Raw genomic sequence first — 23,542 nt, 5'->3', positions numbered from 1 at the left:
ACTTGTGCCTCTGGCCAAGTTAATTTTTCTCTCCAAGCGTCAGTTTCTCCACCTGTTAAAAAGTAACGGCAAACCTACCTCACTGGAGCTTAATAAGGATTAAGTGAAATAATGCAGGTCAAATATCCGAGCCTTGATATATATAAGCCTCATGTGTATGTGTTCCCATTTATGTAAAATAACAGTGTAAGCATATTCAAAGAAAGCAATTCAGAATGTACTCTTAAACTAAGCAATGGTTATCTTGGTGTGGGGAGTTGGGGAAACCAGGGGCCTGCCTTTTTCTCTATTATATAATGCTGCAAAGTTTGATCTTTAAAAAAGGACATTAAAAAGCCCAATTGTACTTTAAACAACACAAGTTTTAATACTTGGGTAAATAAATGGCATCTAAACAAAGAAAGAAACTGAAGGCAGAGCCAGGCCCAACCCTAGGAGACTGAGGAAGCGATTCTGCTTTGCCTGCCCCCAGCTCAACCCCTGCACTAAAACCCCCCGGCCCCAGCCCCAAGGTCCAGGGGGTTGTATTCCTGGGGGCGACCCGGCGCCCCTCAAGTCTCCCTCCTCTTGCACACACACACACACAAACCAGACTCGAATCCCCGCCTCCCAAGGGAAAGTGTTTTTTAAGGTCTGTTCCAGGGCCTGCCGGGGCCAGGGACCGAGGTGGGACTGAGTGGCCGGAACTCCTCCACCTGGGAGAGTCGGTCCGGGTAGCTGCGGCCAAGCTGAGTCAGCCCGGCGGGCGGCGCACGCGGCGCCGCGTGACCCGCAGCCACGTGACCCGCGCGGGGCCGGGCCGCCGGCGCAGTCGCTGCAGCCGCCGCGGGAGGCGTCCGTGTAAGTGGGTAGCAGGGCTGGCGGGGACCTTCCTCGCGGGCCGGAGCGCGGAGCGCTGCCCCAGCCCTACGGCACTCGGGGTCGGGACCCCGGGGAGCCGCCCTCACACATTTTCCAGGAGGGATCGGAGGGGCGATGGGGTGGTAATGGGGGTGGGGGACACGCTGTACCCCACCGACGACCGCGCGGGCCACCTTCGCCTCTTTCCTTCACACTCCCACTAACCGCAGTGCTGGGGGAACAAAATGTCCTCCTTCTGGAGCGATTACCTTTTCCCTTTTGTGCTTTGGGGGAAACTGAAGACCCAGAGGGGTTCGCAAAGCAAGGTGGGCCAGTAGGAAGACCCCTCCGCTAGTCCAGAGAGAGCACACAGCTCCCCAGGCAGAGCTCATTGCCCCACCTGCTCTAGTGGCCCAGCATGATCCCATGACCTCTCTACTTCTGGAGGAAGAGTCTTGGGGTAGACGGCGGGGAGGGGGTAGGGTATCCCGTTCCGGTAGGGGCAGGGATGAGGGAGGCGGGGCTGAGCCGAGCATCTATCTGGATGGTAACAGCCAACGTAGAAAATACTAAGTTGTTTACATGCATTCTCTCATTTCATATTACCCGTCGTGAAGTCTGTGAAGTAGGTACTATTGTCCCAATTTTTACATAGGAGGAAACGGCTCAGAGAGAACTTAGGTCCTTTGACCGAGGTCCTGCAGGTGGTAAGTGAAGGAGCTGAGATTAGAACCCAGATCTGCCCCCAGTGGCGCCTCCTCGTGGTCTGTGGGTGGTGGAGACGACTGGCCTAGCCTCTTAGCTCCTCTGTGAATAGAAAGGCCTTTTTCCTGGCTCAGACAGCTTGGGAAGGGGATTGTTGCTGGGTAAGAGAAGCTTCTCCCACCACCTCCATCTCTTTCTCTGCCCCTTACCATTGATTCCTTTCTGTCATCCCCTCTCCCCCACTGCAGGACAAGATGAAGCTCATCATCCTGGAGCACTATTCTCAGGCGAGCGAGTGGGCGGCTAAATACATCAGGAACCGCATCATCCAGTTTAACCCAGGGCCAGAGAAGTACTTCACCCTGGGGCTCCCCACTGGTGCGTTCTTGGATGGAGAGGGTGCCGTGGATAAGGGTGGAGAGAGTAGGCAACAGGGGCCAGGTACACCGGCTCACTCAGCCAAGGGACTTCACGGGGGCTCTGGGGTACTGGTGCTGAGAGAGCACCTTCCTGCCCCTTCCACATACAAAGGACCCAGCTTCCCTTATGGGTTGGTTTAGTCGCTGCCTGTCCCTGCAGAATCCTGGAGCAGAAGGGATCTTGGTTGGCAGGAAGAATTTGATTTTTAGGCTACATCCTAAGTCAGCCCTGTCCACCAGGGTTTCTTAACAGAATTAAGTCCTGATACCCTAAGGCATTCATTTTATGTAATGAATTAATTTCTCTTCTCTGCATCTAGAGGGGTACCAGCTAAGTACCATCCTTGGGAGAATTGAAAAGATAGTCACTTAGGTAATTTTCTGTAAGGCTTAATTAAACACAGGACCTAAATAAAAAACAGTTCTAATTTCTTTTGGAAAAAATCAAAATGTTGCTTTTTCAGAAAGATATTTTGACCCCAGCTCCTCAAGACAAATGTCCTGATTATTTCTTTCAGAGATGGATGGGTTTGCCCTAGTGGCCCTACCTGACCCATCCATTAGCGTGTCTATGTGTGTGTGTGTGTGTTGGAGGGGTCTTCAAACTTGTTCTTTTTCCTTTTTTTTTTTTTTTTTGGTCTTCCTTGCAGTCCAGACTTTTTCTGTAAATGGCCAGTAGTAAATATGTTAGACTTCACTAGCCATATAGTCTCTGTTGCAACAACTTAACCCTTCTGTTGTTTGAAAGCAGCTATAATTAGCCTGGCATGGTGGCGCTCACCTGTAGTCCCAGCTTCTTGGGAGGCTGAGGTAGGTGGATTGCTTGAGCCAGTAGATTGAGGCTGCAGTGAGCCATGATTGTGTCACTGTACTCCAGTCTGGGTGACAGTGAGACCCTGTCTCAAAAAAAGAAAAGACAATATATAAGTGAATGAGTATGGTTGTATGCCAATAAAACTGTATGGACACTGAAGTTTGAACTTATATAATTTTCACATGTCACAAAATATTATTCTTCTTTAATTAAAAAAAAAACTATTTAAAAATGTAAAAACCAGGCCAGGCATGGTGGCTCATATCTGTAATTTCAGCACTTTGGGAGGCTGAGGTAGGCAGATTGCTGGAGCCCAGGAGTTTGAGATTAGCCTGGGCAACATGGCAAAACCCCATCTCTACAAAAAATAGAAAAATTAGCTAGGCATGGTGGCACATGCCTGTAGTCCCAGCTACTGAGGAGGCTACGGTGTGAGGTGTGAGTATTGCTTGGGCCAGGAGGTCGAGGCAGTGAACCATGATTGTGCAATTGCACTCCAGCCTAGGTGACAGAGCAAGATTCTGTCTCAAAAAAAAAAAAAAAAAGAAAGAAAAGAAAACCATTCTTAACTCATAAGCTGTATAAAAACAGGCCACAGGGCCGGGTGTGGTGGCTCACGCCTGTAATCCCAGCACTTTGGGAGGCTGAGGTGGGTCGATCATTTGAAGTCAGGAATTTGAGACCAGCCTGGCCAACATGGTGAAACCCTGCCTCTACTAAAAATATAAAAATTAGCTGGGCATGGTGGCGGGCACCTATAATCCCAGCTACTCAGGAGGCTGAGGCAGGAGAATCAATTGAACCCAGCAGATAGAGGTTACAGTGAGCTGAGATTGTGCCACTGCACTCCAGCTTGGGTGACAGCGATACTCTGTCTAAAAAAATAAAAAATAAAGGCCGCAGGCCAAATTTGGCCTGTGGACCAAAGTTTGCTGAGTTCTGCACTAGAGGTTTGTGGGAGTAGTATCCACCTGTGCCTGTGAAACTACCAATGTCTCAGGCCCTCGGAGGCTGTGCTAACATCCTGTCTCCTAACTGTGGAGAGACCCAACCTCTGTATGGGTCAGAGTCTGGCCTTCTGAAACCATTCCCTCGTTCCCATCATTGCAGAGTCAGATCCAAGCTCTTCAGAGTGGCATTCAAGGCCCTCCAAAACCTGGCCTCTCCCTGCCTGTCCTGCTTGAACCAACAGGACAGCGTTTCCACACGGGTTCCTTGGAACATTGCTTCTGTTAGATGTAGCACCTGTCAGGGTTCTGAGTGGAAACCACAGAAACCAACTCCAGCTAAATTAAGCAGAAAAGGAGTTTATTGGCTAGATACTGGGAAGTTCAGAGAATTCATGGGAAGGCTAGAAGTTTGGAAAATGGCAGGAGAGAGGAAGCTATGTGGCTCAGGCATAGCTAAGGCCTTGTCACACGGACCAACTAATTATTTTGGGTGGGCTGCGGGGAGCTGCCATTCACTCAGCAGGTATTTATTGAGTACCCTCTGTATGCAAAGCTGTTCTAGCCTCTAAGGATACAGCAATGAACAAAAAGGATATGAACTTCTGCCTTCTGAGGCTTAAATTATAATGGGAGAGACATAATAATTAGCAAAATATAGAGTATGTTAGATGGTGATAAGAGGAAAGGAGAAACATGAAGCAGGAAAGGATAGGGAGTGTGTCGGCAGGGGTGGGGCTGTGCAGTGTTGGATATGGTGGCAGGGAGGGTCTCATAGCCAGGGGCCAGGTTCTGTGGAGCCTTAGAATAACTGGTGTTGCTGAGGGTGAAATGAGAAGCTATTGGTGGGTTTTGAAAAGAGGGGTGACATGACGTAATCTCGATGGGTTTTTTTTCTTTCATTTTTTTAGTTTGCAAAATTTCAAATATTCAAAAAAGAGGAAAAAAACAGGTCAATACCATTCACCTAAATTCACCAATTGTTACCATTTTGCCACATTTGCTTTTACCTTTCTCTGGCTCTTGTTCTTTATCTACACACACACACACTTTTTTTTTCTGAACCACATGAAAATAAGTTCCAGACATCCTGACACTTATCTCTAAATCCTTCAGCACATATCTCCTGAGAATAAGGACATTCTCCTACACAACCATGATACCATCATACCTAAGAAAATGAAAAATCATGCCATCATCTAATATGCAAACTGTGTTCACAATTTTTTCTCAATTGTCCACATTTATCTTTTATAGGTTGGTTTTTAAAAAATTAATTCAGTGTCCAGTCAGGGTTCATGCATCTTTAGTCTTTTAATATACAGTGTCCTCCTACCTTTTATTGTGTGTGTGTTTTTATGACATTGACTTTTTTTTTTTTTCAAGATAGAGTCTGGCTCTATTGGCCAGGCTGGAGTGCAGTGGTGCAATCTCGGCCCACTGCAACCTCTGCCTCCCAGGTTCAAGTGATTCTTGTGCCTCAGCCTCCCGAGTAGCTGGGATTACAGGCACATGCCACCATGCCCAGCTACTTTGTGTATTTTTAGTAGAGACAGGGTTTCACCATGTTTTCCAGGCTGGTCTTGAACTCCTGACCTCAAGTGATCTGCCCGCCTTGGCCTCCCAAAGTGTTGGGGTTACAGGCGTGAGCCACCATGCCTAGCCATGACATTGACTTTTTAATGAGACTCAACTAGGGCTTCGCTGCTCCTCAGGGAAGTCTTCCTTGAACCCTGAAGCACTGGGTGAGCCTGTGCTTTACCCTATCACAACTGACGTTCCTGCTTTGTGTTCTACTCCTAGTGAGTTATCTTAGAGTAGCTACTGTCCCTTGCTCCCCTGTGTCCTTATCACATGGCCCTGTGCCTTGCACATATTACTTGTTCAGGGAGTATCATGTCAATAATGAAGTCTGATGTTCACTCAGGTACTAATCAGAGTGATTTCAGTCATCAGTGTGCTGGATACTGGGAGATTCAGCAGTGATCAAGGCAGACACAGTCCTGCCCTCCTGGAGCTTACAGTCTAGTGGCAAAATAGGCATTAAACAAGCAATTAATGGATGGATGGCAGTTAGGATTGGAGTACTGGGTAGGACTTCAGATCTGACAGGTTCTCCCTGTGAGCAGCCCTGACTTATTCCTGTGAACCCTCTGGGCTTCCAGACTTGGGGTGCAAGGGGTGTTCATGGGTGTGGCCACTCTTGCAGGGAGTACCCCACTTGGCTGCTACAAGAAGCTGATTGAATACTATAAGAATGGGGACCTGTCCTTTAAATATGTGAAGACCTTCAACATGGATGAGTACGTGGGTGAGTCTTTCTCTTTCAAGGTTCTTTCCTGATTCTAGGAGAGTGATGCTCCTCCTCTCATTGGCCCAGTCCTGGAGAGGAATCGGGGAGCCAGTGACATTTGATGATAGGCTCAATTATCAATACTTACCTCTTGGTTTACTCAGCTATAAAATGGGGCTAATAAAGCTGACCTCACAGGTTGTAAGCATTAAATTCATTTAATCCTTTTATGATAAAAGATGTGGAAGTTTCTTATACATAACAAATACTTAATAAATATTAGAGTATCTCCTTCTCCTCTGCCTGCTCCTCAACTCCATTCCATTTCTTTCTGGAACAAATGATTGCAAGTGGGATCCTGGCTCGGGTGTTTCCCCTAGGATCTGTGTCTGTGCTTTCTCTTCTGTGTGTGGCCTCCAGCTCCCCTTTCTGCCAGGTACACTTGAAGGGGACCTGAGATTGGTATCCTTCCTGCTGCTGAAAGACTATACCTTGGTCTTCTATCACCTCTCCCTCACCCAGTCCTTTTGTAATAGCTTCATTTTAAACATCCTTTTTTTAAAAAAAAAATTGTGGTAAAATACATGTAACATGACATTTACCATCTTAACCACCTTTCTGTGTATAGTTCAGTAGTGTTAAGTGCATTCACATTGTTGTGCAACCAATTTCCAGAACTCTTTTCATCTTGTAAGACTCAGGCTCTATACCCGTGAAACAACAACTTCTCATTTCCCACTTCACCAGCCACGGAAACCACCATTTTACTGTCTGTTTCTATGAATTTGACTACTCTAGAATCAAACTAGAGTATATAACTGGAATCATAAAGTATTTGTCTTTTTGACTGGCTTCTTACACCTAGCATAAAGTCCACAAGGTTCATCCATTGTTGTAGTGTGTGTCAAAATTTCCTTCCTTTTTAAGGCTGATTTTACATATTCTTAATGCTTAACATTAAACATTATTTTTTTTTCCTGGCCAAAAAAAAAAAAGTTGATCTGGGGAAGCCCTAAGATAGTTCTCTCTAACCACCTGGTGTTCAAGCTGGGATTTATTCAGGCTGAGTGGGGTAGAACTGGGAGTGGATGGTGGGTTGAGAGGCACAGGGTGAGGGGTGTGCTTGCTTGCTTTCTAAGATGAGTTCAGCCCTACCCCAGGTGGCCAGAGTGTCCCCAGCCTCTAACCTATGGTCATTGCCTTATGAAAAGCAGATCAGATCAGAATGTGGGGATTTCCCAGGCCCTTGGTGTGCAGTTACTCTGGCCAAGCCCTGTGGCCACAGATGGTGGTACTGGGTGGGTGGACACTTATGGATACTGGCTCAGCCTGTGCCGAGTGGCTAGGGGTCAGAGGGCTGGTGCCTAAGGCTCCCAGATGGGCAGACCCCTGGGAGTGTCTCTGTAGGTCAGCATGGTGTCCTGGCATCCTTCTTAGGAGAGGGGCTTTGGCTTGGCCTAGGCATAACCGAGTGTCTCACGGCCCCACAGGCCTTCCTCGAGACCACCCGGAGAGTTACCACTCCTTCATGTGGAACAACTTCTTCAAGCACATTGACATCCACCCAGAAAACACCCACATTCTGGATGGGAATGCAGTCGACCTACAGGCAGAATGTGATGCCTTTGAAGAGAAGATCAAGGCTGCAGGTGGGATCGAGCTATTTGTTGGAGGTGAGCTTGACACTCTGCAGCACACATGTCCAGGGCCAGACCCGTGGGAAGGAGGACAAGACACAATGCCTGTCTGCAGACAGCTTCTTCTGGGTGTGCTAGTGACCGTAGAGACAGAGGCGGGAGAAATGGGCCCTGCCTGGCTCTGTTACTCAGGAACTATGTTATCTTGGAGATCTCTTTCTGCAGTTTGATGCCTTGTCTGTAAACTGAGAGGTTTGGGTTTGGACTCTGAGATTCTGTCTACTCCCCAGTCTTAAGGTTTTATGGATCAGTCCTGGAACTTATCTAAACATTTAACATCATGGACTCATGTAGTTCCGGAAGGCTCCACACAGCCCCTGTAGATAGCCAGTTGAACCCCAGAGAAGTTAGGTGACTCACTCAAGGTTCACAGGTGGGAGCAAGTGTGTGCTTCTTGGATTTGTGCTCGGGTCCTCTGGGCTGCCCTTCTGTGTATCCATCTATCGCCACCTCTGGAGTTACCCATGAGGGGTAACATTGAACTGCCTTTTATTGCTCTAGAGATCACTCTTCTATACTTCAAGGTGGGGAGGAGGGGGGCAGGACCTCTCATCCTCTGAGATTTTAGAACCTTGGCAGCCCCTGTCCAGGTTCTCTGGGTGTTTTGTTCACTGCACCTCTATCCCAGCAGCAGGACCCTCTAACTACAGGCAGAAGAGACAGAGAAGGTCCACTTTTCTGACAATCTGGGGAGGCAGAAGCTGTTTGGAGTGTTTCCTCCTCAGCTTTTTGAGGGTGATAGCAAGTTAACAATGTCTGTGTGTGCCTCAGATAGACATGATGGGGAGGGTCTCCTCTGAGACAGTATGGCAAAGAGAAAGAAATGGTAGGGAGGGGGACAGATCACATGTTTAAGGTGTACCTGCCCAGGGCTGCAAATGAGAAAGGTGACACAGCTTTCAATGATTTTTCTTCAGACCCTAGTTAGGGAAGGAGAGATTGTCCATTCTTGAAATCTTGGATCCCTGGGACTGACAGGGCTGCACGGGCTCTCTCCCTATAGGCATCGGCCCTGATGGACACATTGCCTTCAACGAGCCAGGCTCCAGTCTGGTGTCCAGGACCCGTGTGAAGACGCTGGCCATGGATACCATCCTGGCCAATGCTAGGTTCTTCGATGGAGAACTCACCAAGGTGCCCACCATGGCCTTGACGGTGGGGGTGGGCACTGTCATGGATGCTAGAGAGGTAAGGGCATAAGGGCCCCACCAGCTTGCGCTGGTGGACTTGTCTTTCTCTTGTTAATCTTAACTATACTGGTACCACCTACATTCTTATTAAAGATGAAGGCATGGTAAATAAGGCTAAAATCCCTGCTGACCCTGTTACTCACTGTTCCTCTTGCGTCTTTGGAAGACATCATTATTCCCAGTGTGAGGTGAATCCCTTGAGCACGTTTTTGGTGCCTTTGGCTGACTGCCTGAGACAGCAGGCTCTCTGGCCTCAGGCCCCTTTCATGCTTTTCACAGGCAGAGAGGAGGCCAGCATCGCTAATGTTGGAATATTTGTACCTGACCAGGTATGGAGAGAGGGGTTCCCTTGTTCCTTGTAGTTGGTAGAGGTCACTGTTGGGACACCAAGGATGCTTGTGCTTCTAGCCCCGTGCTCAGAGATTAATAAATGTGGTGAAGTATGATTAAAATATAAGTGTTTTAAACTGAATTTAGCTTTTCCCCTAAAAAATTGGCTATCATTTGAATGTGAATTTTTTGTGGTTCCAATTTCCTTATTTTCATTAGAACTTTAGAAGCATTTTCTCTTCCTTTCTGACGTGTATAGACATGTTAGATTTACATTTCTTTGCCCAAGCCAATAAACAAGCATCTAAATCAGTGAAAACTTCCCTGTTTAAAGTGAACTTTTGTGAAATGAGTGATGGCACCCAGATTTCTGTTGGGTAATCTTCAATCAGTACGTGGGGTGGGGGTGTTTACTCGCTGTTTTTAGCTCTGCAGCTTGGAAACAGGTTTAGGGCCGTCTTTATCATGAGGGCATCTTGATCTGGGAAAGGACCTGGGGCTGGAAATCAGGAAATTATCTTTTCTAAAGAGTTCTGGGTTGCTGAGGGGTCCGGAAGAAATAGTCACATTCCCTCTCTGCTTCTGCATTCTAATCTTTTAAGAAAGGAACAGTAAATCCTGTTCACAACTCTGTGGCACATGTGAATTAAAATGAAAGGAAATCTACAGAACTGAGTTTTTTTCTCTTTTCCTGCCCTTGAATAGAGCTGAGTTCTTTAAGATCACTTACATTCTCGATATTTTAACTGTTAAGTGGAGACTGTGCCTTTGTTTTATTATATATTAACAAAAACCATCACCCCAAGTCACATTAGTTCATAGGTTTAATGCTGTGAACTGAAAGTGACCAGATAATGGGGCAACCTTTCTGGGATTCAGCCTTAGAGGCCCCACAGATAACTCCCACCATTGCTTGCAAAGTGCCCTTGCTGGTGGTGCAGGTTGGGAGCCCTCTTTCACAAACTGTGCTTGTGTAGAGTCACCCAGCTGATGGGATAGCAGGCCTGGGCATGGCATGTCTGTTTACAGGGCACCTTCATAGTCATCATCAAAGATACCTGGAGGCACTGTCACGTGGTAGTCAAGAACATGAACTTTGGGGTCATAAATGACCCTGGGCAAGTTATTTAACCCCCTGGGGCTCTGTTTTCTTATAAGATGGAGATAATGATGCTGCCTGCCTCGGGTTATTTGTGTGATAAAGCACAGGGAGCACTGAGCAAAAGTATGTTGCATGGTAACCACTTACAATGTGATATGAAAAACAATCATCCTTACAACTGTTTAGGGTGTCTGGAATGCTCCCCTCCATCACAGACTTGTTTTCTGATCCCCAGGTGATGATCCTTATCACAGGTGCTCACAAGGCATTTGCTCTGTACAAGGCCATCGAGGAGGGAGTGAACCACATGTGGACCGTGTCTGCCTTCCAGCAGCATCCCCGCACCGTGTTTGTGTGTGACGAGGATGCCACCTTGGAGCTGAAAGTGAAGACTGTCAAGTATTTCAAAGGTGAGGGAGGTGTGGGTCCAGGAGGAGGTGGTCAAGCTTAGGGTGTGCTAGGAGTAAGGAGTAGATCCAGCTTTCATCCTCTGGTCATTTTAATTGACAACTGTAATCTTAAGAAATATCAAACCCAACTGCATCACACTACACAGTCATTTCTCTTCTGCCTGTGACTGCAAAGATCCATTTCTGGAGATCTGTTTGCTCTGAGGAGGAGGAAAGAAAACGCAATGTGGTCCAAGGACTATGTGGTGACCTCACAGTGCCATTAAGCCTCAGGTTTTCTCTTTTCAAATCTTAAACAAGCGATTCCTTTCTTTTATTTACTTTCTTTCTTTTTGAGACAGGGTCTCACTCTGTCGCTCAGGCTGGAGTGCAGTGGTGTGATCTCAGCTCACTGCAACCTCCACCTCCCGGGCTTAAGTGATTCTCCTTGCCTCAGTCTCCCAAGTAGCTGGGATTACAGGTGCCCGCCACTATACCCAGTTAATTTTTGTATTTTTAGTAGAGGCGGGGTTTTGCCATGTTGCCTAGGCTGGTCTCAAACTCCTGACCTCAGGTGATCCACCCACCTCGGCCTCCCAAAGTGCTAGGATCATAGGTGTGAGCCACGATGCCCAGCCCTTCTTTTACTTTAAAAGGATGCACACTGCTTTAGGCAAACATGTGAAAATCCTCTTTTACTCAAGTAGGTCAATTAGGAATTTGTCCTTTGCTGAAAAGACTAACCTTTAAATAGCCAACTCCCATAGTGATTGAATTTATAAAAGTTCCATGAATGTAGTACTCACTGTGAATAACTCTTTTTATACTCTTAGGGTGTTTATCATTTGGGGATCATAGAGAAAAGAGAGAAGTGTCAGCTCTAAGACAAAATTTGAGAGCTCCTGGATGTTATGATTGATAATCAAGGAACTCTTGCCACTGCCTGAATTAACTACTTTTTGTTTTTAATTTTTTGTAGGTTTAATGCTTGTTCATAACAAGTTGGTGGACCCCTTGTACAGTATCAAAGAGAAAGAAACTGAGAAAAGCCAATCTTCGAAGAAACCATACAGCGATTAGCCTGTGCTGGGACCTAGTGTCAAGTACCCATAGGGAAAGGCAGGTCTTTCTGGAAATTGTCTTTAGAAGAAAGAATTGTATTTCTTTAATCTAGTATGGTTACTCCAGATAAGTGGGTGAACTTATTGTTCTTGGCCATGAGGCTGGGAGCCTAGTCACGGAGTTTAGCTATAGGGAGAATGTTTGTAACTTAATCAGAAAAAAAATATCTGCAAAATGTACTCCATCATTTTGATGTCTGCCAAACCCAGGTTGGGAGTTTTAAACTTTTTGTTCTGCTTCAGCCATGGTTCACACATATGACACACTCCCGTCAGGAATTTCTCTCCTTACACGCACTGATTTTCAAGTGGGAGGGAATTAGGGGCTTATGTATATTGGATACCACCTCTTTGAAGAGTCTTGAGAGTCCTTCTTGCACAGGCCTGCCCCTTGGTTGAGAACCATTGTTCCAAGTGAAGGCACAAACTCTCAATATCTAAAATAAGTGCAAGGAAGCAGTCTCTTTGGTCAGTAACAAGTGCAATGGAAAGAAAACGATCCCTTCCTTCTTCCACTTTCACAGCTTTTCTCTGAACTAGGAGAACCTGGGGGTGGATTTGGGTGGGTGGGGCCAAAGAGGAGGCTTCTATTGATAAATCCAGAGCCTCAAGGGGCCCAGCCACGTCAAACTTCTCTCCCTCAGGGACTCTCCAGCACCAAAAGGCAGAAGGTGGAAGCCGTTTTTCCCCCAGAGCCCTGTGTTTTTGTGAAAGCCTCACTGTGGCTCCTCTGTTTTACATACTCATTAGTAAGTGGGAGGTCCACTGGGGCAACAGACACTGCCACAATTTCAGTGTTGTGTTCAGCCAAGGGGACGGTCTGGGCAGGCAGCTTAAGTGTGAGTTTAGTCACAACTCCTGAGTGTCCCGCTCTCCTGCTTACCTAGGAGGTGAGTGCCAGGAAAATACACCAAATGCTTCTAGTATTGTTTCCCCACTTAAAATAGTCCTGCTTAAATTCACATGGTGTGGTCTGATGTTCTGAGAGCATCAGGAAATACAACCCTTTTGCCCATTTACCCTTCTCCCCGGATCCCAAGGTGGTCTGTTGCTCTGGCTTCCTTTCATTGTCTTAGGCCTTCATGGAGTGGATGCTGCCTCCTCCTGGCTGTTTTTGTGCCTGTTTGAAGCTACTGCTGCCTCCATTTCTGGGAAAGACCTTTGAGAGCCTAGCCCAGGCCTAAGGGCTATGTTTGGTACCAGTGTTTTGTCTTTAGCTTTTCTATGTGATTGTGCCGTCATTCTGTTTTAAGCTCATGGATCAATGGATTTGTTTACAATGTGATATTTTCTATTAAATCCAGTATTTTCAAATAACATGTCATTTGTGGATTTGAGCCCCCAATTTTAGAAGACTCTCTGGGCTATTTATATATTTTAGAAAGAGCTGGTAAGCAAAGCCTCACATTCAGTCCTCACAAGAGCCTGCAGGAAGGCCACAAGCATAGCAACCATCATCAGAGTGAAAAATAAGATTTTATGAAAATGGAGCACTTACAGGAAAAAGGGTAGGAATGAACAGATGAGCAATAAATTGTCATGTTGGGGCTGTACCTGAGATCCAAACGAGGATACAGCTGTTATAAAGATTAAGGCAGATTTGTGATGAGGGATATTATTGCAAGGTATGCAAAAATACATATAGGTTTTTTTTTTTTTAAAGTTAATATAATGGAATATCTTAGGGCAATATAGCCAATTAAGGAGGTAGATATAGAAGTTAAAAGAAGGGTTTAATTTTTTTAACTATTTTGAGGCTGGGTGCAGTGGCTCATGCCTATAATCCCAGTGCTTTGGGAGGCCAAAGCAGGAGAATCACCTGAGATCAGCAGTTCAAAACCAGCCTGGGCAACATAACAAGACCCTGTCTCTACGAAATTTTTAAAAATTAGCCAAGCATGGTGGTGTATGCCTGTAGTCCCAGCCACTCAGAAGGCTGAGACAAGAGGATTGCTTGAGCCCAGGAGTTCAAGACTGCTGTGAACTATAATCGCATCACTGTACCCCAACTCTGGACAACAGAACAAGACCCCATCTCAAAAAAATATATTTTTTTGATATAAATCCAATGATTTTTATGTTTATAGAATACTGCACTTCCTTACCACAATCCTTTTTTTTTTTTTTTTTTAAAGAGAGAAAGTCTCACCCTGTCTTCCAGGCTGGAGTGCAGTGGCGCGATCTCAGCTCACTGCAACCTCTGCTTCCTGGGTTCAAGTGATTCTCCTGCCTCAGACTGCCCAGTAGCTGGGATTACAGGTGTGCACCACCACACCCACCTAATTTTTGTATTTTTAGTAGAGACAGGGTTTCACCACATTGGCCAGGCTGGTCTCGAATTCCTGGCCTTAAGTGATCTGCCTGCCTTGGCCTCCTAAAGTGCTGGGATTACAGGCATGAGCCACCGCGCCCAGCATCACAATCCATTTCTATCATTCCCAAAAGCTCCCTACTCCTAACCCCAGCCCCAGGCAACTACTGGTCTGCTTTGCGTCTACAGATTTACCTTTTCTGGTCATTTAATATAAATGGAATCATGTGACATGACATCTTTTGTGTCTGGCTTTTTTCACTAAGCATAACATTTTTCAGGTTCATACAACACGTAGCAGCAGTCCATTCCTTTTTATTGCTGTATAGTATTCCGTTTTGTGGACATATATTTTGTTTATCCAGTCAAGAAGGGTTTAAATTTTAAGTATGTTATAGTAACTACATTAAAATGAGACAAAAAAGGACTTAGTGATGACAGCTAAACTGGAGATACCTGTATGAACTTGAGACCTTAGAAAGATCTGATGTCCTTCCTGAGTCTGTGTTTTCCTGGTGGCTCAACAGCAGTGTACTGCTACAACCAGTGCTTATGCGATCAAGTGGGATGTACACCCCTGGGTCATCTTGGGCTTCTAATACCAGGGCTCCTTGTACAGGAGCTAATATGTTTGGGGGTAGGGATCAGAGTAGGCCTGGAATATCTTGTTACTGGAAATAAGGGTGCTTTCAAAAATGTCTGGGGCTGGCCAGGAGCAGTAGCTCACGCCTGTAATCCTAGCACTTTGGGAGGCTGAGGCGGGCGGATCACCTGAGGTCAGGAGTTCAAGACCAGCCTGGCCAACATGGTGAAACCCCATCCCTACTAAAAATACAAAAAATTAGCCAGGTGCAGTGGCGTGCACCTGTAATCCTAGCTACTGGGGAGGCTGAGGCAGGAGAATCGCTTGAACCCAGGAGGCAGAGGTTGCAGTGTGCCAAGATCATGCCACTACACTCCAGCCTGGGCTACAGAGCAAGACGTCGTCTCCAAAAAAAAAGTCTGGGGCTTGTCCCAGGAAGTCTGGGGATGAAAAAAAACAAAACAAAAATGTCTGAGGCAGTTCTGAGAGGACGAAACAGCCAGTTAAATGGGTTCCCACTGAACAGGTTTTCACAATTTGATCAAAAAGGAAATACTAAATACAGCTGACTGGAACAAGTTGAATTTGTAAAACAGCAAGTTTGATAAGAAAAGGAAAATGTAATATTAAGTGCACACAGAGCTGTATTTCAGGAAGAGTAGACAGAATGTGTTTACTTACATTTAGTAAAAAGTGGCAGTGTTGACATCAATGGGTGCCACCTTCCTTCTATTAGTCTGTTTATAAAGTAGAGGTGAACACAAGAGCCTGGCTATTACCCCTATGGCCTACTCTTCTACTCTTTCCGTCCTTCAGGCCTTGCCTCAAATGTCATTTATCAGATTAACTCTTCCCTGATCCTCCAATATAAAGCTGCAATCCCCAAGTTCCTATCCTTGCCGTGCGCTATTTTCTCAGAACCCTTTACCACTGGACGTGTATTTTGTTTCCCACTAAATGTAAACTCCATGAAGGTAGATGTTAAATACTGCTCTATTCTGCCCCTATAGCAGTGCCTTGATATCTAGAAGGCACTGGTACTTGTTGAACCATAAGCCTGATAGTTGTCCCCATGAGTAGTGATCGTACATAACAATCAGGGGAAATCATGGCATATTACATAATGGATTAGCCAACTGGCCTACTGAGGAGATCTAACTTGGAAAATTTGATGCTTCTTTCCTGGGAACCAAAATCCTTACTGTGATGAGATGCTAATGAAACACGTCCATTTCCGGTAAGATACAGTGTGACAGGATTTAGAGTTATGCAATAATGGGCAGGTAAAACAGAACATAGTACTTTGGACCTCAGGGGAGCCATTACCACCAGCTGGCAGTCATACTACATTAATAATCAGACTAGTCCATTTAGTATCCTCAAAGACTAAATCATAAGGTCCCAAACCTCTAACCCCTCTATCCCAGCTTTCCTTTCAGCTAATGACCTTGAAAACAGAAGCAATCAGAAAAGAATGTCCACGAGTTCCCATCATCACATACCCAGACGTCAGCCCTGCTCTCACACTTGCTGTCTTCCTGTTACCTGCTCCTTGGCCGAGCCCTCTGCTTGCACACCAGATCCCATCCTCTCTTGCCTCCTTGAGGACGTTGCTCTGGCAACACTCCCAACTCTCACCTACAGCATCAAATTGTCCTCTCCTGGACCACTCCTATGGCATTCAAGACAAGATTTAAAAACAAAACTGTACCTCATTTGCCCCCTAAGTACATCCTCATTTTTCTGATCTCCTTTAGAGTAAAGTTTCTAGTTACCCATACTCTGACTTTAATCTCTCACTCTTCTATTCTCTCTTCTCCTTCTGGTATGGTAGTCGCCCCTTCATCCACAGGGCATATGTTCTAAGACCCCCAGTGAATGCCTGAAACCGTGGATAGTACTGAACCTGATAGTTTTTTTTGATACACATATACCTATGATAAAGCTTAATCTATAAACTAGGCGCAGTAAGAAATTTACAAAAATAGAATAATTATAATACACTGTAATAAGTTATGTGAGCATTGTCTCTCTCCCTCTCAAAATCTTATTGTACTGCACTTACCTATTTTTGGACTACAGTTGACCATAGAAAGTGAAACTGTGGATAAGGGGGAACTACCGTATTCCCATTACGCGTAGCTACACTTTGCCTTTTTTTTGGAAACAAGTTCTCTGTTGCCCAGGCTGGAGTGCAGTGGCATGATCTCAGCTCACTGCAATCTCCACCTCCCGGGCTCAAGCGATCCTCCCACCTTAGCCTCCTGAGTAGCTGGGATTACAGGTGTGCACCACCACGCTTGGCTAATTTTTGTATTTTTTTTTTTTTTTTTTTTTTTTTTGTAGACACTGGGTTTTGTCATGTTGCCCAGGCTGGACTCAAACTCCTGGCCTCAAGCAATCGCCTACCTCAGCCTCCCAAAGTGCTGGGATTACAAGTGTAAGACACTACATCCAACCTACACTTTTAAAAATTATCCCACAGTTCTTGGATATTCTGCTGTTTTTAAAAATTTTCCATTCCTTTTTGAAATCTTTCAATTTCAATTTGGGAAGTTTCTATTGACATATCTTCAAGTTCACTGATTCTTTCTGGCTGTGTTCAGTCTTATGAGCCCATCAAAGTCATTCATGTCTGTTTCAGTGTTTTATTTCTAGCTTTTTTTTTTTTTTTTTTGAGACAGAGTTTCGCTCTTGTTGCCCAGGCTGGAGTGCAATGACACGATCTTGTCTCACTGCAACCTCCGCCTCCCGGATTCAAGCTATTCTCCTGCCTCAGCCTCTCGAGTAGCTGGGATTACAGGCATGCACCACCACGCCAGGCTAATTTTGTATTTTTAGTAGAGATGGGGTTTCTCCATGTTGGTCAGGCTGGTCTTGAACTCCCGACCTCAGGTGATCCTCCCGCCTCAGCTTCCTAAAGTGTTGGGATTACAGGCGTGAGCCACTGCACCTGGTCTTTTTTTTTTTTTTTTTTTGCATTTCTTTTTGATTCTAAGTTTCCATCTGTTGCTTATACTACGTGACTATTCTTGCATGTTGTTCATTTTTTCTATTAGAAATCTGGCACATTAATCAGTTATTTTAAATTCCCAGTCTGATAACTCTCAAATTTCTGACATATCTGAGTCTGGCTCTGATGCTCGCTTTGTCTCTTCTTTTTTCCCTTTTAGCATGCTTTGTACTTTTTTACTGAAGCCAGACATGATATATTAGGTAACAAGAACTTACGTAAACAGACCTTTAATGTGAGTTGTATGTTTATCTGGCTAACAGGCTGCATCTGATGTTCGCTGTAGGTGCTAGAGGCTCCAATTTTCCTCAATATCCTTGTCTCCCCTGTTGTCTTTGGGTTTCCCTAGAAATTCCTTCTTAAAATAGAGTCCATGTCTTGCAGCTCTCAGTTGTAATCCACTGTTATCCTGGAGCCCTACTGATGGTATCGTATTGGTGAGAAGATGCACTGCATATTCTTATGATTAAATCTGTCTTTTTTTTTTTTTTTTTTTTTTTTTTTTAGTGGAGACTTGTTTTTTCCTCCTCCTATGTGAGACAGGAAGGCTAGAAGGGGGTTGAGCCATCCAACTGCCCTTCTCCTAAGCTAGAGAAGGCTTCTGCAAGTAGTTTTCCCTGAGAAAACTGTTCTCTGCCATGGAGAACAGAAGATCTGGGGCTGATTTCTTCCTGGATGTATTTCAAAAGGATTACTTTCCCCCTTCCCGTGTCCAAAGCACAAGGGAATTTTCCTGCCATCTTTACAGGAGAACCTAGTGGGTCTCCTCGAGGTAAAACCCACCAAAGTGTGGGGTTCCCTTAGACAAGCTCCCGGTTTTGAACCCTCAAGCTAGTCCACACTTAGCCCACAGCAATATGTTTAAATCTCAATTACTGTCTCCAACAGCTTCTGCCTTAGGTGAGCCGATCTCCATTTTCCTGCCTGTTTTTGCGGTGAAGGTTTGCCCTGTGACCTCAATTCTCTGACAGATGTAAGAAAAGCTGTTGATTATCGGTTTGCTTAGCCTTTTTCTTATTATGAGGACACCCCATTCTTTCTCAAACATACTCTAGATTTGCAACTGCCCTCCACTGAAACAGCACTTGTCAAAGTCCCCAAGGACCTCAATACTGACTGCTTCAATTGTTACAGCTCACAGTACTTGACCTTTTTGCAGCGTATGACACAGTTGATTACTCCTTCCCTCAAACTTGACTTGGCTTCCAAGACACCACACACAGCTGGTTTTCCTACCTCACTGGCCACTGTCTGTCTTTGCTGGTTTTTCCTCATCTCCTTGACTTCTTAGCATCTGGAGTGACCCACGACTCAGTCCTTGGACCTTTCTCTACATAAAACTCACTCCCTTTCTAATCTCATCTAGTCTCATGACTTTAAATGCCATTTACATGTTGACTCCCATAATTCTATCTCTACCCTGAGTTGCTCCCTTGAACTCCGGACTAGAATATCCAACTGCCTGTTTATCATTTCCCCTGGGATAACTACCAGGCATCTCAAACTTACCTGTCCACAACCAAATTCCTGATCTTCAGCCACAGACCTGTGCTACCTACAGGTTTCTCATCTCAACTGCTCAGACAAAAATACCTAGAAATCAACCCTGATGCCTTAATTTCTCATATAGTCAGCCTGTCAACAAATCCTATTAATTTTACCTTCAAGGTAAGTACAGAATCTAACCAGTTCTCAAAATTCTAACTTCTGGCACACTGGTACAAGCCACCTGCACTTCTCACCTGAGCTACTGCAAATGGCCTCCTAACTGGTCTGTTTCCACCTTTGCTCACCAATCCCCTAAAGCACACGCCTGACCCTATCACTCCTCTGCTCAATGGCCCCCTCTCAGAGTGGCAGCCAAAGTTCACACAAGGCTCTATACAGTCTACAGGACCACATGCTTACATCCCGTCTCTCACTCTTCCTGGGTCTGCCTCAGCCCTCACTGGCTACCACACTGTTCCTGGAGCCCTCTTACATGCTCATAGCCCAAGGGCTTTGCCCTTGCTGTCTCTGCCTGGAATTCTCTCCTCCCAGGTGTCCAGAAGGTTCAATCCCACACTGCTGAGACTTTGTTCAAGTGCTATCTTGATGGAGTCTTCTCTACTCTTTAAGATTCCAACATTGCCCTGCCTCCCCTAACTCCCTATTTCTTCTCCCCAACTTCTATGGTTTTTTTTTTTTCTTTTTTTTTCTTTGAGACAAAGGTCTTGCTTTGTCATTCAGGCTGGAATGCAGTGGTGTGATCAAGGCTCACTGCAGCCTTGACCGCCTGAGCTCAAGAAATCCTCCTGCCTCAGCCTCTTGAATGTCAGCTGGGACAACAGGCACATACCACTGCACCCAGCAAATTTTTAGTGTTTTTTTGTTTTTTAAGAGAGACGGAGTCTTACTATGTTGCCCCGACTGGTCTCAAACTCCTGGCTTCAAGTGATCCACTCACCTCAGCCTCTCAAAGCACTGGGATTACAGGAGGGAGCCACTGCGCACGACCCATGGTACTTATCTTCTGATGAACCAGATAATTTACTTAGTGTCTCTTTCCTTCCGCCAGAATTTAAGTTCCACATGGGCAGGGAGATTATGTCTGTTTTATTTACTGCTACATTCTCACCACCTTGAAAAAGAGTAAGGCCCATTGCTGGGTATTCCATCAGTATTTGTTAAATAAGTGAGTTATTCTAGGAAATACTATAGGTTGCAAAAAGTAGAATGGTACTGAGGGTAAGACAATCGCTTTTAAAATTTACATGTATTTATGTTGTATTAGTGTGAGTTTAGCTGCTTTTCCTTTTTTGGTTTGTTTTTATAATGAAGGGAAAAAAGGAGATCCAAGCAAGGAAAAGAAGTGACTGTGTTAACTTTGTACTTAGCAACTTCAGCATCAAATCTCCCTAAGTTTCCAATGTACACAATCTTCTCCAAAGCATCCTCTGGCTCAGAGAAATGTGGGAGTCCTTGGAGTGGTAAATCTTCAGACAACCTGAGAAACTGTACAGTCTAAACGATGGGTGATGAAAGTTGATTATTACCATAAACATTGGCTAAGAATACCCCTAAAGCTCCCATAACCAGATTTCTGACCACACTCAGTCTGGCCTGATTTTTTTAGTTAAGCTAAGGTTTGGGGAGCAGGCTGGCTACTCTTACCAGCATCAGAGGGCACCATGGGGTTACAATTCCTTGGTCCTACTTAGGGGCTTTATATACAACTTAATTTCCCTACTTTGGTGGTTGAAGGTTAAGTGCCACTATCAGGAGTGACACTCTACTATGTAACAATTGCATAAGATGTCAACTGTGGTTCACATACACTTTTGAGTATTTAAAAATTTCTGATAATACTGCTGTTCCTGCCTTGATAGTACTGTTAGATACCATTCTGTCTACTAAAGTATAAAACAGACTATAATGAAATATAATGAGGAAAATTTAAATACCAGAAATTAAATCTACTTCTGTAACAAAACAACATACTCTATACCTGTCTTAACTAGTGACGATATTTTTAGAACATGGGAACTGCTGCCACCTGCTGGTGATGCTTATGGCAAAGTTAATACTAGGTAGGAGGGAGATCCAAACTCCAGTCAAAATTCTGAAATTCCCTTTCAAAGCAGACAGCCACGTGAACAACTTTATTATTATCTCCTCTAATTAACTCTCATTGCTCTTGACAGAAAAAATAAATACAAAGTATATGAAGAGATTACTAATGTAAATTAGAACTGTCTACTACTAAAAAAATGACTTTGGGCAAATGACTTTGGGCTGGGTGCGGTGGCTCACACCTGTAATCCTAGCACTTTGGGAGGCTGAGATGGGTGGATCACTTGAAGTCAGGAGTTCGAAACCAGGCTGGCCAACATGGTGAAACCCCGTCTCTACTAAAAATTAAAAAAAATAAAAAATAAAAAATTAGCTGGGTGTGGTCGTGGGCACCTGTAATCCCAGCTACTTGGGAGGCTGAGGCAGGAGAATCACTTGAACCCGGGAGGCGAAGGTTGCAGTGAGCCGAGATCAAGCCACTGCACTCCAGCCTGGGTGACAGAGCAAGACTCCGTCTCAAAAAAAAAAAAAAAAAAGACTGCTGACTAACACCACAAATCTGTCTGGGAATATGGCTTCTGATACTGAGCCTTTCTTACGTTCACCAGCTCCTCCACAGGTCAACAGGAAGGGATACATCTACTCAACAAACTTCGGGATTTAGCCAAGATGGCAGGCTAATTCTCACACCAGGGCACAGTCTAATGGGTCCAGCTGACTTCCTGACTTGATCAACTTGCCCAGTGTTTAATGATGTTTTTCAAGAAGCCGAGCAGGAAAATTACCAGAACAGGTGAACAGCCTAAAACTGCATACACAGCACTGAAGCATCCTGAGAAGTAACTGATTTAAAGCTACAAAAGACCTCAGTCAAAAAGAAATCACTGATTTGCTGAGCCTGCTAGGATTAGGTAATCTGTCTTCAAAAAGTTTTCTGGCTCCTGCCCAATCCAGATGTACCAAGGTATAATTAATGTTTATATAACAATAAAAACAGATGAGACAACTGTGACAGCTGAGAGGGGTCTAAGGAGACATGATAACTAAATATAATAACGTGGTGTCCTAGAAGGGATCCTGGAACAGAAGAAGGACATTAGGTAAAACTAAGAAAATCTGAATAAAGTATGAACTCTACTTAATAATATCAATACTACTTCATTAATATGACAAATGTGCTGCACTAATATGTTAATAAGGAAAACCAAGTGAGGGGTACATAGGAACGCTGTACAATCTTGGCACTTTTTCTGTCAATCTATATTCTAAAATAAAAAGTTTCTTTTTAAAAAATGGATGGTCTGTTAATAGGGTAGCTAAAAAAATAAAAATTATAATAATAAAAATTTAAACTAAAAGAAAAATGGATGAAACAAGATGCATCTCAACTGACAAAGGCAGGCCCTAAAGTTAGTTCGATCACAAGCTTAAAATGTCACAGAGCTATTTTGATTTAAAAAAAAAAATTATGGCCAGGCGTGGTGGCTCATGCCTGTAACCCCAGCACTTTCGGAGGCTGAGGCGGGTGGATCACTAGGTCAGGAGTTCGAGACCAGCCTGGCCAACATGGTGAAACCCCATCTCTACTAAAAATACAAAAAAATTAGCTGGGCACGGTGAGCATGCCTGTAGTCCTGGCTACTTGGGAGGCTGAGGCAGGAGAATCACTTGAACCTGAGAGGTGGAGGCTGCGGTGAGCTGAGATTGTGCCACTGCACTCCAGTCTGGGCAACAGAGGGAGATTCCATCTCAAATAAATAAATAAATAAGTTATTTGATAGCTTATTTTCATTTATCAGCTCTAGACCCAAACCTTTTATATAAAAATGAAGAGACACTGACTATTCAAACTCCCCCAAAAACACCCAGGAGGCCAGGCACTGTGGCTCATGCCTGTAAATCCCAACACTTTGGCAGGCTGAGGCAGGAGCATTACTTGAGCTCAGGAGTTCACAACCTGGGCAATATAGCGAGACCTTATTTCTACTAAAAAGAAAAAAAAAAAATTAGCTGGGCATGGTGCTATGTGCCTGCAGTCGCAGCTACTCAGGAGGCTGAGGTGGGAGGATTGCTTGAGACCAGATCTCAAGGCTGCCGTGAGCTATGATCGCACCACTGCACTCCAGCCTGGGTGACAGTGAGACCCTGTCTCAAAAAGAAAAAAGGCCCATGAAATTCATACTAATTTATGGCAAATCTCAACCCACTCATAAAAAAAGGCTTTCATGAAATTAAG

The 23,542-nt window shown here is 44.8% G+C and overlaps 1 protein-coding gene across 4 annotated transcripts, besides 2 other annotated features; it reads left to right on the top strand.

The window, feature by feature from the left end:
• Nucleotides 683-952: a silencer, noted in NCBI's record as "silent region_16466". NCBI's record gives its function as "represses an Ori minimal core promoter by ATAC-STARR-seq in GM12878 lymphoblastoid cells {active_cell/tissue: GM12878}" and the evidence as "EXISTENCE:reporter gene assay evidence [ECO:0000049][PMID:35858748]".
• On the top strand, nucleotides 808-13,164 carry GNPDA1 (glucosamine-6-phosphate deaminase 1). Of its 4 annotated transcripts, none has more exons than XM_006714747.2 (8): nucleotides 808-840; nucleotides 1,496-1,547; nucleotides 1,794-1,923; nucleotides 5,935-6,036; nucleotides 7,509-7,691; nucleotides 8,719-8,903; nucleotides 10,573-10,747; nucleotides 11,706-13,164. In XM_006714747.2, the coding sequence occupies exons 3-8, from the start codon at nucleotides 1,800-1,802 to the stop codon at nucleotides 11,804-11,806; spliced, it is 870 nt and encodes a 289-aa protein (XP_006714810.1). In that variant the 5' UTR covers nucleotides 808-840; nucleotides 1,496-1,547; nucleotides 1,794-1,799; the 3' UTR covers nucleotides 11,807-13,164. The 4 variants fall into 4 exon arrangements, with proteins under 4 accessions (XP_006714810.1, XP_047272538.1, NP_005462.1 ...); XM_047416582.1 differs by having other exon boundaries at nucleotides 808-920; NM_005471.5 differs by lacking the exon at nucleotides 1,496-1,547.
• Nucleotides 1,624-1,683: a silencer, noted in NCBI's record as "silent region_16465". NCBI's record gives its function as "represses an Ori minimal core promoter by ATAC-STARR-seq in GM12878 lymphoblastoid cells {active_cell/tissue: GM12878}" and the evidence as "EXISTENCE:reporter gene assay evidence [ECO:0000049][PMID:35858748]".
• Nucleotides 13,165-23,542: the final 10,378 nt, after the last annotated feature.

This window comes from Homo sapiens, chromosome 5 (assembly GCF_000001405.40).
Source record: "Homo sapiens chromosome 5, GRCh38.p14 Primary Assembly".
Lineage (NCBI taxonomy): Eukaryota > Metazoa > Chordata > Mammalia > Primates > Hominidae > Homo > Homo sapiens.
The sequence above is the reverse complement of the archived record's forward strand: the minus strand, read 5'-3'. Positions and strand labels throughout refer to the sequence as shown.

What these genes read in the sequence shown, in the direction of transcription:
- GNPDA1 (XM_005268348.2), top strand. Translation starts at nt 1,086, where the DNA reads ATGTCCTCCTTCTGGAGCGATTACCTTTTCCCTTTTGTGCTTTGGGGG. An exon ending in AGAGGGGTTCGCAAAGCAAG is followed by an intron (nt 1,167 to 1,793) that starts GTGGGCCAGTAG and finishes CCCCCACTGCAG; the next exon opens with GACAAGATGAAGCTCATCAT. An exon ending in GACTGTCAAGTATTTCAAAG is followed by an intron (nt 10,748 to 11,705) that starts GTGAGGGAGGTG and finishes AATTTTTTGTAG; the next exon opens with GTTTAATGCTTGTTCATAAC.